Source organism: Homo sapiens, chromosome X (genome assembly GCF_000001405.40).
Source record: "Homo sapiens chromosome X, GRCh38.p14 Primary Assembly".
Taxonomy (NCBI): domain Eukaryota; kingdom Metazoa; phylum Chordata; class Mammalia; order Primates; family Hominidae; genus Homo; species Homo sapiens.
In genome coordinates this window covers 96,379,527-96,395,247 of record NC_000023.11, presented here as the reverse complement: position 1 = coordinate 96,395,247, position 15,721 = coordinate 96,379,527, and the positions used below count along the sequence as shown (strand labels likewise).

At 36.7% G+C, this 15,721-nt stretch overlaps 1 long non-coding RNA gene across 1 annotated transcript in view; it reads left to right on the top strand.

Annotated features, from left to right (window-relative positions):
* The first annotated feature begins 3,490 nt into the window (after positions 1-3,490).
* The window catches only part of LOC105373294 (uncharacterized), a 28,332-nt gene continuing 16,101 nt past the window's right edge, over positions 3,491-15,721 (top strand). The window contains exon 1 of the long non-coding RNA XR_938466.3: positions 3,491-3,620. This is a non-coding gene — a long non-coding RNA (uncharacterized LOC105373294). The remainder of the gene's footprint in view (positions 3,621-15,721) is intronic.

Genomic DNA, 15,721 nt, shown 5'->3' with positions numbered 1-15,721 from the left:
ATAGTGTAAAGAGGGAACACGTTGAAGTCAAGCTGACCTGGGTTTGAATCCTTGTCCTCCTACTTAGAAGCTAGAAGGTATGGGTAATTTTTTTGCCTGCCCAGCATCTATTCCCTCTTCTTTTGTTAACCGAAGACTGACTTACCTTTAAGAGAATTATTTCCTTTCTGTGATTAATTCACAGGGCTTAACATGGGATTAACACACCCCTGTCCTCAGTTCCAAGGGAAGGCACATGACCTAGGCCTGGCCAATCAGCATATTCCATATTTATGGCCAAAGCCAGGTTGATGTGTATCAACTGGGAAAATGAAGCACTCTGTTAAGAGGATGTAATATAAGAGTAGAGCTGATGGCTGTGATCTTTCTCCAGTCAGGATTGAGCCTGTCCAAGAACACAAGCAATGCAGAGAAAAGCAGAGATGAGTGACCAAGATAAGGGAAAGAGAGACATGATGACATCATTCAGCCTCTGGATCTAGCCATGGGTGAAGACAGTTCATCTTTTCTTTCCCCTCCCACGCCACCCCTGCAGGCTTCTAGTTACATGAGCCAATGAGCAACTTGTTTATTCCTTAAGTCAGTGTGAGTTGGGCTTATTTTGCTTGTAATCAAATAACATTAAATAGATACACAACCTGACCTTGGGCAAGTCATAGTCTCTCTGAAGGTCAGTTCAGCTGTAAAACAGGATGATTCCTTTTTTACTCATCACACAGGGACATTAAGAGGCTCACATTTATGTGAAATGTACATGAATACATTTTGACAACTGTAAGTGTTTGGGAAAAAAAGGATAAGTATTAGTGTGTATCCCTGAAGAATAAAGAGATATTGTTTACTATGATTTTGTTTTCTTTAGAAAACAAAGAAACACTATTCAGTCAATTATTATAGACACTGGAAAAGCATAAGCCCATGCCCAAACCATTATAGTTAAATCTCTTACCACAGGATTTCTCTTTCATGACCAAAAATCACAGATTTTTTTCTTTCTTTTCTTTTTCAAAGAACATGAAAACCTACTTATTATTCCACCTAGAATATGCAAGAGCTAGCATTTAACTTTAACGTTTGTTCTTAAAGCCTGCACAAAAATTTTGAAATAAAGATTTGTTGCTGTCTCACATACTCCTCATATTCAACTTTTCATTCTGAGTACAGGTTGTAAATATGTTTTTAGAGCAAAGCATTTAAGAAACCGCAAAATTCAACCTTGGAACATTACATTAGTCATTCAAAGGAGACATATTTTTAAATCAGTTCAAATACATGTCTCTACCACATTTCCCTCCTACTCCTTTCCTTATATATCATATTATATTTGATGATCCAGACACTTAAATGATAATCTGTGTAACTCGAAAAAGTTACTGCAATTGCCAAAGGAGCCTAATTTCTGTCTTGGCACCTTCGGGACTTAGAATCATCTGCATTATTTACAGATGTCTCAAATTATAGGGAAAATTTGCATGTGAGTGTGGCTGTTTAGGGATGGGATGGGTGAAGAACCCGTTAATGTATCCTAATGTATGTTAACCTAAGGAGATGACCTCTTGGCCTTAGAAATCTGCCTTGAAGTTTCTGAATCCAGGGACTGTATGTTTAATTTTCACCTATTTTGTAGTAAGGGACTGACATAAGGATGTAAATGGTACTTGCAAAATTCTATTTTAAGACCAAGAGGCAAGCTAGCACAGCAGAATAATGCTTAGAAAGTAAACATAGGGAATTTAAACAATTGTCTGCTTTGGTCAGAAAGATGGTCTTGCTCTTAATTTTTTCCCAGCCATTTTCACTGGCTAGAAATGCTAAGAAATGTGCCACAGTATTCTATGCAGATTAATCCCGTAATGGGAAAAAACATCACTCATGCATCTGTGAATGTACTATAGTTTCTTATATTCAGTATAGGTCCTGATGTACTCATCCTTATTTTTTCCTTGACATCTGTGGAGTATATCCCAGCACCTTAAAAAATTCCTTAAGATGCTTTTTTCCTTAATGCAGGTATGAGGAAAGCAAGCAGATTTAAGTCGGTATTCACCAGGATATATGCTTTTAGTATATGTAATTTGATGAAATCCAGGAACATTTCATTCTTTCCAAATGAATCCACCAATGAGCAGCCATTCCTCATTACTAGAAAAATATCAAATGACTAAAAATAATAGCATCTATCTGTGGGTTCTGTTCTTTTTAATCCAGGTAAGGGGCTGAAACATTTCTTTCTACATGGAGATATGGCAGTACAACCTTTTAAAGTGGTTTCAGTAAACAGATCAAGCTCCTAATGCTTCAGGTAGTTGTCCCTCCTACTGCTTCATACTCAGAAACCCTAGACCTCTATTTTACAAAACAGGATAATAATTTTAATGATTATGAAAGTAAGAATTGGAAAGGTCAGTTGTTTTACCTAGCATCCCAGAGCTAACAGGTGGTAGATACAGGATTTAAAGCTACCTCTGAAAAAAATAAAACAAACCAAGTCTTTTTGACATCCAAGACGGTGTTCTTAACCGCTGCATTGTCCTGTCTCTCAAGCAAAAAGTGACTTAAAATTTCAACAGAGATGCCAACTTGGACTCTTAAAAGTAGTCACACAAGCTTCCCCCATGCTCTACCCCTCTATTGCCAATTGCCATCCTCACCCCTATTTCTCTACCTCTTGCCACAATCAACAGTACTCTCTAGGGTGACCATCAAAGTATAATCAATTTACTCATTTTACGAACATGAAAACTAATCCTGAGAAAAGAAAGAAATGACTTGTTCAACGTCACACAACCAATTATCGGCAGTGCAAATATTAGCGCAAATCAGCTTGTTCAGTCCAATGTTGTTTCACTACAGGGAAAACAACCCAGAACATTCAAGCTTCCTTATGATAGGCTACTTTAATATTATTCATATGTATATAGTTTAATATTATATATAGTTCAATATTATGTATAGAGTTTAACAGTATATGTATTTTAATATTTTATGTATACACATAATACATACATACATATACATATATATATATATAATGTGTGTGTGTTTTTGAATAAATGATGGATAAAAAGTGCCTGAAGTCTTGTAGTCACTATATTAATCACAAAGATGTCTTTAACTTCTCCAACACAGAATACTGGAGTTTTCTTCTCCAAACCTGTTCTTTGCCTATTACTATTCCCTGTCTCAGGAAATCACTACCACCTCTAGGACTAGGGGGACAAAAGGAAGAGATTGGGGTTATCAGAACCAGGAAGCTTGGAGGAGGGTCCATGTAGAGCTGGAACACGCATTCCTGAGGAGAGGGTGCTGGCAGCCTGATGCAGTTGTCCCTTGAGGAACACAATAAGCCTGAATCTGGGAACAATGGGACCAAAAGCTGCAGACTGGAACCAAAACCTTGGCCTTGGTGAAGGGCCATTATTGTGGTAACATTTAAGAAACCAGAAAGCAAACGGGAAGGAGTAACGCCTTCTGCCCTTCCTTCAGGCTTGCATTCTCCCTCCTGTGCTCCCTAGCTTCAGCACCTATCAGGGAACCCACGGCAAATGAGCCAGCTGGAAATGTGATTTGCAGAGTTGCAGCCCCGGCACCACAGGGCCTCACAAAGTAGAACACAGAAGGTAAGTCTGAGAGACACCAAGTTAATAACTGGCACAGAGGATCATAGTCAAAAAGTAGGGGTTTTACCTCTCCTTCACCCCTCCTTCCATTAATATATTTGTAACCATCTATGGGGCTCATGGCAGAAGGAACAATGATTTCCATGGGAGCTGGGTAGTATCGTTGTATCTTTTAAATCCCCTTTCCTGATCTTCAGAGAACATCCTTTATGTCTTTTAGCTTAATGGATTCTTGGTTTCTTCTCTACTACTCCTGAGATTGCTCTAAGATCACTTAATAACACCCTGTTTGCCAAATTCAGTGGCCTCTTTTCTGTGCTCATTCTAACTTTCTTTGGCACATAATATTTTTGACAACTTCCTCCTTCTTAAAACTTTTTCCAAAGCACATTTCTCTATTCGTTTGTCTGCCTAATGCCTTCTTTTTCTCAGCTTTCCCCACTCTTCTTCTGCCCACTCTCCAAGGCTTAGTGTTCCTTGGAATTCTGGCCTGGACCCCTTTCTGTTTTCACATTTCTTGGGTGATGTCATTCAGTTCCACATTTTTAGCTACAACCTATACGTAGTGAATCTCAATCTTTATTGGTAACCAAGACTTTTTCTTGAAATCTGATTACAATATGTCTCTCTGTGGAACAGCTCTACTTAAAAGGACCCACTGACATCTCAAGCTTAACATGTCCAAAACAAAACTCATCTCTTGAAACCTATTTTTTCTTCTGCAAGCCTCTTTCCTTGATTAATAATGCCAATGTCTGTTAAATTACTCAAGCTAGAAAACTTGGAGTCATTTTTTATTAATTTATCTCTTCCTCACCTCTTGAATCCAGTCAGTCACCATATCCTATTGATTGTCCTGTTGCTTAAATATCACTTAAATCTATTTCAGTCTCTTTATTCCTACAGTCACTGTTTGGTTCAGGCTCTCACCATTTCTTACCTTGACTCTCATAATAACCTTCTAACTGGAATTCCAGCTTCCGGTTTCCCTCCTCTCCCAGGCATCCTCTATATAATCATCAAGGTTAGCTTTCTCTCAAATATTGCATGTCCTCACACATATGTGGGAACTATCAAAGTTCATCTCATGGAGGTAGAGAATAGAATGGTGGTTACCAGAGGCTGGGAAGGGTGTGTGTGGGAGGGGGATGAAGATAAGTTGGTTAATGGGTATAAAAATACAGTCAGATAGAAGGAATACATTCTGGTGTTCAACAGCACAGTAGGGTGACAACAGGTAACAGTAATTTATTGGATATTTCAAAAATAGCTAGAAGTTTAAAATTTTCCCAACACAAAGTAATGATAAATGTTTGAGGTGAAGGATAACCTAATTACCCAGATTTGATTGTTATACACTGTATGTGTATATCAAAATATATGTACTCTATAAATGTATGCAATTATTATGTATCGATAAAAATTCACTTTCTGAGAGACAAGTCTAGTCATGCTGCTTCCCTACTTTTAAAAAAGTCATAAACAACAAAAAGAGCAACTCCAATGTTTTCCCTCTTTCTAGAGAATAAATTACAAAGTCCCTGCCTGTTTTCCTGTCTGAGTAAATTCTCAGTAATTGTGTAAGGCCTATCTCAACTAACCTAATTGTGTGGAATCTTTCTTGACTTATACAGAAAAAGCTATTTTCTTTCCAGTATTTCCTTATCACTTAGCATTTACTTGTATTAGCACTCATCGCTTTGGATTTCACTTACGTTTTTTACATGTCTGCCTCCCATACTGGTTATATGGGTTCTCCAAAGGGTACGGACCGTGCTTTAATCATCTTTGCATTTACAGTACCTGGCATAGTGCCTGGAACATTCTAGAAACTTAAAAAGCATTTGTTAAATCGATGAATAAATGGATTCATTCATGTGTACAAGGGAAGAATATCTGGGAACAAGTTGTAACCTCACTCAACTTCTCTCTTCTACTCAAAAAGCATACAGGAATGCAAGTAAGTGAGGATCACTATGAATTGGCTTTAAATTATTTTCTTCAAAATAAATAAATCAGTTACAAACTTTCCTTTTAAAATATTATTATAAACATATTCCTTGCAGCACAGCTCAAAATTTGTCTGTGACACAGTTATTTGTCATAACCTCATGGTTGGGAACTGCTCTAAAAAACCAGGGGAGTGTTCTTTCTGTTTCTCTGAAGACATAGATCTGGTGGTTTTAGGGAATTAAGCCTTACATATTCATTTTAAAGTTTTTTTCATGCTTTAGTGTCTTGCACATACATATACCCTGAAGCCTTTGAAGATGGACTCATTTTTACAAATTTAGTACATATATCATGGCCCTTTCTCATAAATGCAGCCCTCCAGGTCAGCACTAAAGCACACTGCAAGAATGTTTGTATTATTTTATCTCTTGTGATACTTGTTCTATGTGTAAACAGCATTTTTGCACTCCTGGGGTTGTCATAGCAAGTCCTTCAGAACGTCATGTAATTTTACAAAGAAACCATGAAAATAACAAATTATTTTTCAAATAGAATTTAGGGAGTTTACAAAGTTATATCTGTATTTAGAGGCTTCAATGACTCTTCTCACTTTAAATTCTGTGATTTTATGATTAAAATATTGCTCTAGGCTAAAGGGAAAGAATAATTTCCTCTTCTGAAAAAAGAAACTGAGTCAACTAGAAATGTCATCTAGAGTACAGTTTTGGATTACAGTAGTCCCCCCTTACCCACAAGGGATATGATCTAAGACGCCCGCAGTGGATGCCTGAAGCCCTGCGTCGTACCAGACCCTATATATACTATTTTTTTTCTTATACATACATACCTATGACAAAGTTTAATTTATAAATTAGGCACAGCAAGAGATTGACAACAGTAACTAATAATAAATAGAATAATTATAACAGTATAGTGTAACAAAAGTTATGTGAATGTGGTGTCTCTCAAAATAAATTAATATTTTTGTTTGACCTTGGATAACTGAAACTGTGGAAAGTGACAGGGGGTAAGGAAGGGGACTTCTGTACTTTCAGTTACTCCTCTAGATGGTGAGAATATGACAGTACAACTTTCCATAATTGCTTCTCTTATAATATTCACACATAATGTGAATTTAAAACTTTGCATTCTCACTAAAGTATGTTCATGCAGCAAATTTTGAGTCTTGAATACTTTTTGTTTGAAGGAAGTGCCTCCTTTCCGGAAAAGAAACCTATTTTTTATATGCTAGTTTATATTATGTAGGAGAAGATTTGACACAAGCAAACTGTCTGTAGATTTTGTGGATTTTTCCAGTATTTTTCAGAAGGCCCTTAGAAAACGTGCCTTGTTTTTTAAGAAAAAAAGTGAGAGGTGCAAGAATGTCTATTGAAATAAACAACCTGTAAAGAAAGTACACAGAATACTTTACTGAAGGGGAGGGGCAGCACACACTGTCAAAGCAATTATTCTTTCCAGGAGGAAAACCAGAAAATGCCACTGAGTTTAAGTATCTGTATAAGTCACCTCATTGTCCTCAAAACATGGAGTTCTTAGACTAGGTGCAGTTTCCCTTTAATAGGATCCATGCATAAATGATTGAGATTAGAAAGAGCATTGCTCTGAGAAGTCTGAAAAACATCTGACCCAAGACAAATAAACAGTGGTCAGTGTAAGTACTGTCTATAGCACCTGGCACTGGAGCTTCTATTCACATTCGGCACACAAGGAAAGGTCAAGAAAGGTGGGAAAACTACAGGTTGCCTGCCACGTGATTACCAGAATTCCACCAAAGGAAGCTGAGAATTTCACCCTTAGCAGTTTAATAGGGCATGGCATTTGTGTTATATGATTTTATTTGGTAGTGTGAAGTAATTTAATAGACTCATTGTACTGAGAAAATCAAGGCAAGTAACCTGAATTTCTCTATCCCAAAAAATGTACAATTTTTCCTAGTTTATTTTGGAAACAGTGCACTCTCTATATTATGGGTACTAGGCAGTTATTGCAGCAAGGAAATCTAACTGTGTTGGAGTCAGTACGTTGACATCATTAAGGTACACATGCGTATATAGAGGTGGGTATTTACCTTTGACAGAGTTCAGTTCTAAACTTCTGTAAATGCTCTGCCCTTGACAAAGCTGATCTTCTAAGCCCCGTCTTCATGGCTATATGGATCAGTGCTTGTGACAATCACATTTTGAAGACAAAGGGAAATATTTCTTACCAACCAGTGCCTCTTTTGACTTCTTAGACTTACATATGGAATTACTATATTTCTCAGTATAGAATAACTGATAAAATTGGAAATGACTTTCTTCTCTAGTTGTGTCTTACAAGGGTGTATTGTTTACTTAACACATTAACATTAGATATTGCCCAAGAAAAGAAAAGCAGAAGGTAAGTTGAAATTAGGTGCCTTCTAGCTCTGTAGTGCCTTACTGGGTTAGTATGAGGAGGCGGTAAGATGAAAGAGCTGTCTTGGTATGTTACGGTTCATAGGTTACCTGCCAGTGAATCAGACTCCTTTTCCTTAGAACTATTTCTTTGGTGTTTCATGGCTCACAGGACAGGAAGAAGTAGGGATTAGTTCATTATATATATTTTTGTTATTTCAATTTTCTCATTTTTCCTTTTCTCTTTTAGCTCTCTCTTCTACCACTCTCAATTTTTAGCTTCCCTCTTACCATCTCCAGCTGTGTTCACATGGGAATGGCTGGTTCATAAATTGAAATGAATAGTGCTGGGTGGATAAGCAAGTAGATTCTCTGTCATGTGACCTTCACTCCAAGCAACAATATTTTCAGTGCTTACCCATAGATTTTTGCAACATATCTGAACTTTTCTGGCCTGCCCAAATCTATCAGACTAGAAATCCCTGAAGACCAGGCTATTCTGTAAGATTTATGATTCTTCTAGTTTTTAGACAAGTAGAGACTGCATCTATCTTCTGATAGATAAGGTTTTTTTCAGTTCCACGGTTGTCTGAAACAAGGTGGTGCATTTTTAAAAGAGACAATGTAGTATAGAGGAAGGGGTATAGACCTGGGAACCAGAGACCTGGTTTCAAGTGCTGACTCAGCAACTAACTACTAGTGTGACTTTGATAACCTTGGACTAGTCATTTACTCTCAGTGGTTTGGTTTCCTCGTGTGAAAAAAAAAAACTCACAAAACTACATCAGTCTGTGGTTTTTAGATTTACATTCAATAAATAATTTACAATGTCAGCAATTTTTCTTTCCTATACACAGAATGAATCTGAATAGTGAAATTAGGTACACATCGTACAGAATAGAGTATGTACTGGACAACAGCAACTATTTATTCAGGCAGGAAATAAGCCATATGTATGTATGTATATGTGTCTGTATATGCAAAAGTACAGACATGTGTTATAATATCTTTAAAAATAATATTGTTTTTCCATATTATATGAAAAATGCATGTTCTGTTTTGGTTATTTATTGCTGCTAAACAAACCTCCAAAACTTAGCATCTTAAACAGCAACATTTTATTATCTATCATCTCTTTTTGGATGACTTGGCCTCAGATGAATGGGTCTTCTCCTCCATGTAGTGTTGGCTGGGATTGCAGTCATCTAAGGGTTTGATTGGTTTAGAGAATCCAAGATGTCTTCACTTACGTGCCATGGTGGGCACTGCTGAAAGGTTGGGCCCAGCGAGGATGCTGAAAAGGCTGGGCCTTCCTTCTATCCATATAATATTAAGGCCTCTTTCCACCTACATGACCTCTTCACATAGTTTCTCCATTAGGGTAGCTGCCAACATCCACAGGCATAGTTTATTGGGGACTGTCTTTGGAGAGAACCTATTTTATGGTCATTATTTTTAAAATTGGATATATGAAAATAAGGTAAAAATTTTCCATGGGGATTTCAAAACTTATATGAAAAAAATAGTTACAAAATAATATGCACCTTATAATGCCATTTTGGTTGAAAATGTGTGTGTGTGTGTGTGTATGTGTGTGTGTATGAGCACACAAGATAAGAAATCTGCAAGGATAAACAACAAAAGCTAAAACAGTTATATTTGTGTTGTGGAATTATGGATGATTGTTATTTTCTTATTTTTATTTATCTCTATTTTTATGACATTTCAATAATGCATATGCATTACTTGTGTAAAACATGGAATCAATTTAAGTCCAACCATGCAGTGATAACCACCATTAATATTTGGTGAATTTCTTCTTAGTCATTAAACATTCTTTGAAACGTGATTTTACTCATTGTATTGTATTCTATTATATAGATGTATTATGACTTAATCATTTTCCTACGTTGAACATTTAGGTTATGTATGTATGTATGTATTGTTATTTTAAACAATATAATGAACATATTTATACATATTGGACTACATCAATTATGATTTTCTTAACATAAAGTAATAGAAGTGAAGTTTCTGGGTGAAGAGGTATGGACTTTCAAATTTCTCAATAAATGTTGTCAAACTACTTTCCAAAAGGTTGTACAAATTTGTTCTACTTTTTTAGTATCTCTGGGGGAAGCCCTCATCTGAATCAGGACCAATAGTTGTAGATTAATTGAAAATATTAAAGTAGAGGACATTAAAAATATATACATATCTTAAGGCACTTTTATTTTAACTCAAGACTTCCAAATACATGTGTGCATTTGCCAGCCTTCTGCTGTAGGGTTAAGAATTTTTCTTTGAGTATGGTCTCATTTACTTGATTTCACTGTTGTTTAGTGATCTGCTGATAAATGTCTAACAACCAACTTTCTGGAAAAAAATGGCCCTGTTTATTGTGTTTCATGATTCCAGTGGTGTAAATACTCTCACCATGGCCACTTTTAAGCTACCAACATAGCACTTAATGTAGAGTTGAAGTGTGTAGCAGCACACCATTATACAGTATTTCCACTTATACAGACAGAATAAAGGTAAATAACCTCAAGAACATAGATAACTGTAAAATGCAGTAAAATATTTAGGAAGTGATGAATCTTCTGTATTTAGTACTTTTATTTTTAATATAACAAGTTTGTATCATTTAATTATTAATAATGGCAATATTTAATAACAGACTCACACAATTCCTGAAAATTTAATAATTGGCTCTTGTAACCGGTATACCACTGGTATTTTTTCTTTCAGAAACCACAATATAATGCATCCTCTATGATTTCCAGTTTTGGTTTCTTTGAAGTAGACCACCAATTTAACAGGACTTGTTATACAATTTGGGTATGGAGTCCTTCTGAATGTTTGTGATTCCCACCCTTAACCAATCATTTATAGTTGTTTCATCCACAATTTGATAGCTTTTTTATTTTTTTTTTCAGTAGCTGTCCTTTAATCAGTTGCAATTTTTTTTTTCCTGGAAATGAGTCTGTTTTTCCCTTTGCACTTGTCCTTCACCATTACCATGTTATGTAATATACAAGGTATAACTAGCATCAATAGACTTGTGAATAATCACACTGATCTTTGGTAGACATACAATTCAACTGGTGTGAGCAGAGTTGCCCAGATATCCGTGGCTATGAGAGTATCCTGGTTATGTGCATTCAACATCCCATGGGCCTGGAGATGAGTTAGTGAGTACTGTTATTTTGTATTCTGTTTCTTTAATCTGAAGGACAGTCAGGTCTTTAGTAAACATGCCCCATAATGATCTGGATAATGCAGATTTCTGCCCTATTTCTTATTGTGGGGATTTATTATACTGATTCATCGATGCTGTTCCCCCATGACCACTAGGAAGGATCTGTGCGAGTGCTAGGCAGAGGTATAAGGAAGGTATGTGGCAGCCAACTAGCCCAGGAAACAATCACATCCGTGACCTTATGCTCTAGGGTCATTAGCACTTGTTTCTAGCCAACTGAGCTAATGAGGCTCTTGACATTTTATTTTTCTTGACATTTGTTTCTTTTTCTGCTTTATATCCCATTGAAGTAGTTATTAAGTCAAATAATGTGAGAGCCAGAATGGTCCTTGCAGAGCAACTCCAGTGCCCTCATTTAACAGAATTTCTCTCAAACTGTTCCAGGTCCATGCCTCTCATGTTCTATTGATGTGTGCACCTCAGGAACTTGGAGTTGCAATGCTAACAGAATTTTCTGCAGGAGATTGACATTTTGTGTTATGTATCTCGCCATCTCACTCAACTGTGTGAATGGATAACTGAGGTTTAAGGATACTAATAGTTAAACAACTTGGGAAGAATCGTCAGTGCTACATATTAGAAACCTTGCAATCTTATTAGAAAGGTAAACAAGACTCCACTAAGTAAAAATGTCAAGAGATATTTGTGAAACTTTCAAATTTCCCCTGAGCCTCAAGGTATCCAAATGATCAAAGGCAATCCAAGAGGTTAGTGACTGTTCCTATGTTTTGAGTAATTGTTGCCAGAAATGCCAATTCCCTTCTGCTTTCTGGCTGGAGGCTTCTTCAAAACCTTCTGTAAAAAAGGTTTTAAAATTCTAAGAACTTGAAACGTACTCTTTGCCTGTGTGTTATTCACTTCTGTGATTATTGCTACCTCCTTTCCTTCTCCTCCTTCTTCCTTTTGTTAATTCAGTCAGAGAACTAATTTACATCTAATCAAAAAGAGCTTTATAGGCTGGGTGTGGTGGCTCATGCCTGTAATCCCAGCACTTTGCTGAGGTGGGTCGATCCCCTGAGGTCAGGAGTTCGAGACCAGCCTGGCCAACATGGTGAAACCCCATTTCTACTGAAAATACAAACATTAGTTGGGCGTGGTGGTGGGCATCTGTGATCCCAGCTACTCAGGAGGCTGAGGCAGGAGAATCATTTGAACCCGGCAGGCGGAGGTTGCAGTGAGTCGAGACTGTGCCATTGCACTCCAGCCTGGGTGACAAGAGTGAAACTCTGTCACAAGAAAAAAAAAAAAAAGCTTTATAGGTCATAGAAATTTTGAAGTGTTGACTTTAATGATAAATATCATGTTTCATTTGTCAATGCTATTAAATTTCACTTTATTCTTGATCAGTATTTTTAGAATAAGCTAAGTAAGCTTGAATATCTTACCTTCAACTTTCCCATACATAATTGCCAATTCTGGTCTTATCTGTTCATACCATTCTCCCCACCTATAAACTTTTTCTATTAATCAATCATTCTTTTAATTGTGTCAGTTGGAATTATGTCAGTGTGAACCTGAAGCAAAGATAAACTGTTACTATGTCTAAAAAGGTTAATCCAACTACTTGATGTTAGAAGTCAAGATAGGACATTAAGTAATCAAGGCCCATGAAGTGCTTGTAGGTAAATGCTCCCTGGTTATAGGAAGGCTTGTAGAAGGAAATGTTTCTTAGGACTAAAAACTGAGAAAGAGACAACAGTTTGAGATGGCATGATTGTGAGTCTCTTGAGACAAATTATATTATCTTATTCAATCCTTGTGGCTTTGAGAGTGTCAGAGTGACATATCTATCAAGTCTCATAGTTATCAAGAAACAGTGTCAGGATTCAAACTTCCAGGTGTCAAATTCATTTTGCTTTCCAATTTACAGTTATTATGGTATGAGTAGATAGTAAGTGCTGATTTGTGCTGTTTTGATCTGGTTGTTTGATTTTGTAAAAGAGGATTTCCAATCTTTCTTTACAGTGACTTAGGCATTCCATTTGAGGGCTAGGCAAAATTGGCACTGAGGAATCAGATCTGTTCATCTGCCCCATCCACTGAATACACATTGAAAAATCTTTAAAACGTAGCCCATGATATCCAGGAGCTGGTCTGATGCTCACAACTAGGTCTTATTTATATTACTGCAGGCTGGACTGTTACATACAACTAGGCTAACAGGAGAACATCACAGAACATCAACACCAGACAAGATCACTCTGAAACTATGATGGAGTGAGACAAAAACAAGGTCACTGTACAAACCATTCAACACCAATGCCTCCTTCAATCTCAACTAAAATAAGTGATTGTTACTTGTTTACCAATTGTAGCTTTAACTTCATCGAATCTTCCCTCCCTATAGATACAATTCACTGAGATACCTGATATAGTTGGGCTGTGTCCCCACCCAAATCTCATCTTGAATTCCCATGTGTTGTGGGAGGGACTCGGTGGGAGAAAATTGAGTCATGGGGGCAAGTCTTTCTCGTGCTGTTCTCGTGATAGTGAATAAGTCTCACAAGATCCGATGGTTTTATAAAGAGGAGTTCCTCTGCACAGTTTCTCTCTTTTTTGCCTGATACCATCCATTTAAGATGTGACTTGCTCCTCCTTGCCTTCCGCCATGATTGTGAGGCCTCCCCAGCCACGTGGAACTGTAAGTCCATTAAACTTCTTTCTTTTGTTAATTGCCAAGTCTTGGGTAGGTCTTTATCAGCAGCGTGAAAATGGACTAATACAATACGCAATCATAGACTCGACCCCACTTTCTGATAGCATCCCATCTAGAGAGAACTTCTTTTTCCTTAGACCCTGCCCAAAATTATGCAGCCTAATCCCAAGTTCTTTAATAGATTCTTTCTAATGCCTTCTTTCTGAGATGCCCATGGTTCCCTTGATGTATGTTCTTTCTCACTGCAACAAATAATGGGCTCAATTTATTCAGCTACAGGTATGTTCTTGGTAGTCTTTGGCTGAAGAGAAATGACACCAGATTCTCATGATAGACAGGGTCTATTCTGTAGTGTACTTCTTGCTTAGAATATCTGGTGAGCAGTCACCTCTGATCAGGCCCTCTCTCAATATGCCAGTGCTATGCAAGTTAGAATCTTGAATTTCTTAAGGAACTTTCAATCCTGATTTAAATTTCTGGGCATTATTTGCTGTAGTTCCACAGTTGTGTCTCTCTAGAGAGAAAGGGCTCTCAGTGGGAGGATGGGGTTAATGCAAATAATACTGGATATGTCAGAAAACTTCTCTTTTAGTTTTATCTCTGTTGGCAAATAGCCTTGTGACTATGGTCAAGTTGTTTAACCTCTTTGGACCATAGAATTTTAGCTTTAAAACAAGAGTTAGACAGTAGAGGTCTCTGAGGGTCCTTCTAACTCTAACATTTGGTGATTTTATTACTTGAAATCCACTCTGGGTATGTCATCTTCTTTCTCTCATAGGTAATATCATATAACTCTGAAGAGTTTTGTGATGTGAATCACCCAACATATTCTATTTTTTAAAGCTATCCAAAGTGCATAAAGGTAAAGTTCATCATTTACTTCACAAATATTTGCAAACAGATGGCTAGCATAATTGTTTCTGCAGTAAAAGCAGACATTGTTAAAATATAATAAGAACCAGATAAATCTGCGGGAACTCTCTTAGCTCTGTCTCCAGAGAATCAGTGCTAATAAGTCAAATTAGTCATTTTTATTTAGGAGATATAAAAAGGCATATGGTTTCATGCTGTACCAGCTGTCATAAAATTTTGGAGAAAAGTGTTGCTTACAAAGCTTCTAGGGGAAATGTTTCATAGAAGCATTTTAACCTTTATAGCTTACAAAACCAGTTGGCTTCCTTTTTTTTTCACAAACTATTTTTTGGCCTGAATTCTCTTTAACAATAAAGGTTCAGCAGGAAGGAAAACACGTAGCTAGAAGAAAAATAACTGGATTGCCTTCTAGTGGAGTACCTGTTATAGATTGCTTTCATATAGAGCTAAGATTTTCATGTGAGTCTAAAGTGTGTTTTGATGAAATATATTAGGAAACTTGTTTTCAAGTAAGATACATTTCAGAAAGCTACACTCCACTATTTAACCTTCACGTATCATATGAATTACAATGGTGGCCACAATATATGCATACTTTATATGCATACTTAAAAGTCCTTACTCATATACAAGTTCCTTTTGTTTTTTGGCCTCTCCTCCCTTATACTGAAGTACGTGTGCTTTTGTGTATGTGTGTGGTGTGTGTGTTTGTGTGTGTATGAAACCGTAGAGTCCAAAGGTCTTCCACATATTCCACATATTGTGATTTATTCTTCTGACAGTTTCTCTATTCCTTTGCAGTTTTTCACTTCTATCTTTTTAAAATTTCCTTGTTTATTCACTTTGTAGATTCAAGCTTTCCCCCATTTCTCTTTAGTTTTTCATTAAAAGAAGCCAGACCTAGGAAAGACAGAGTTTGAAATAGAAATCTAGAATCAGATATTTATAAGTTTCTATATAA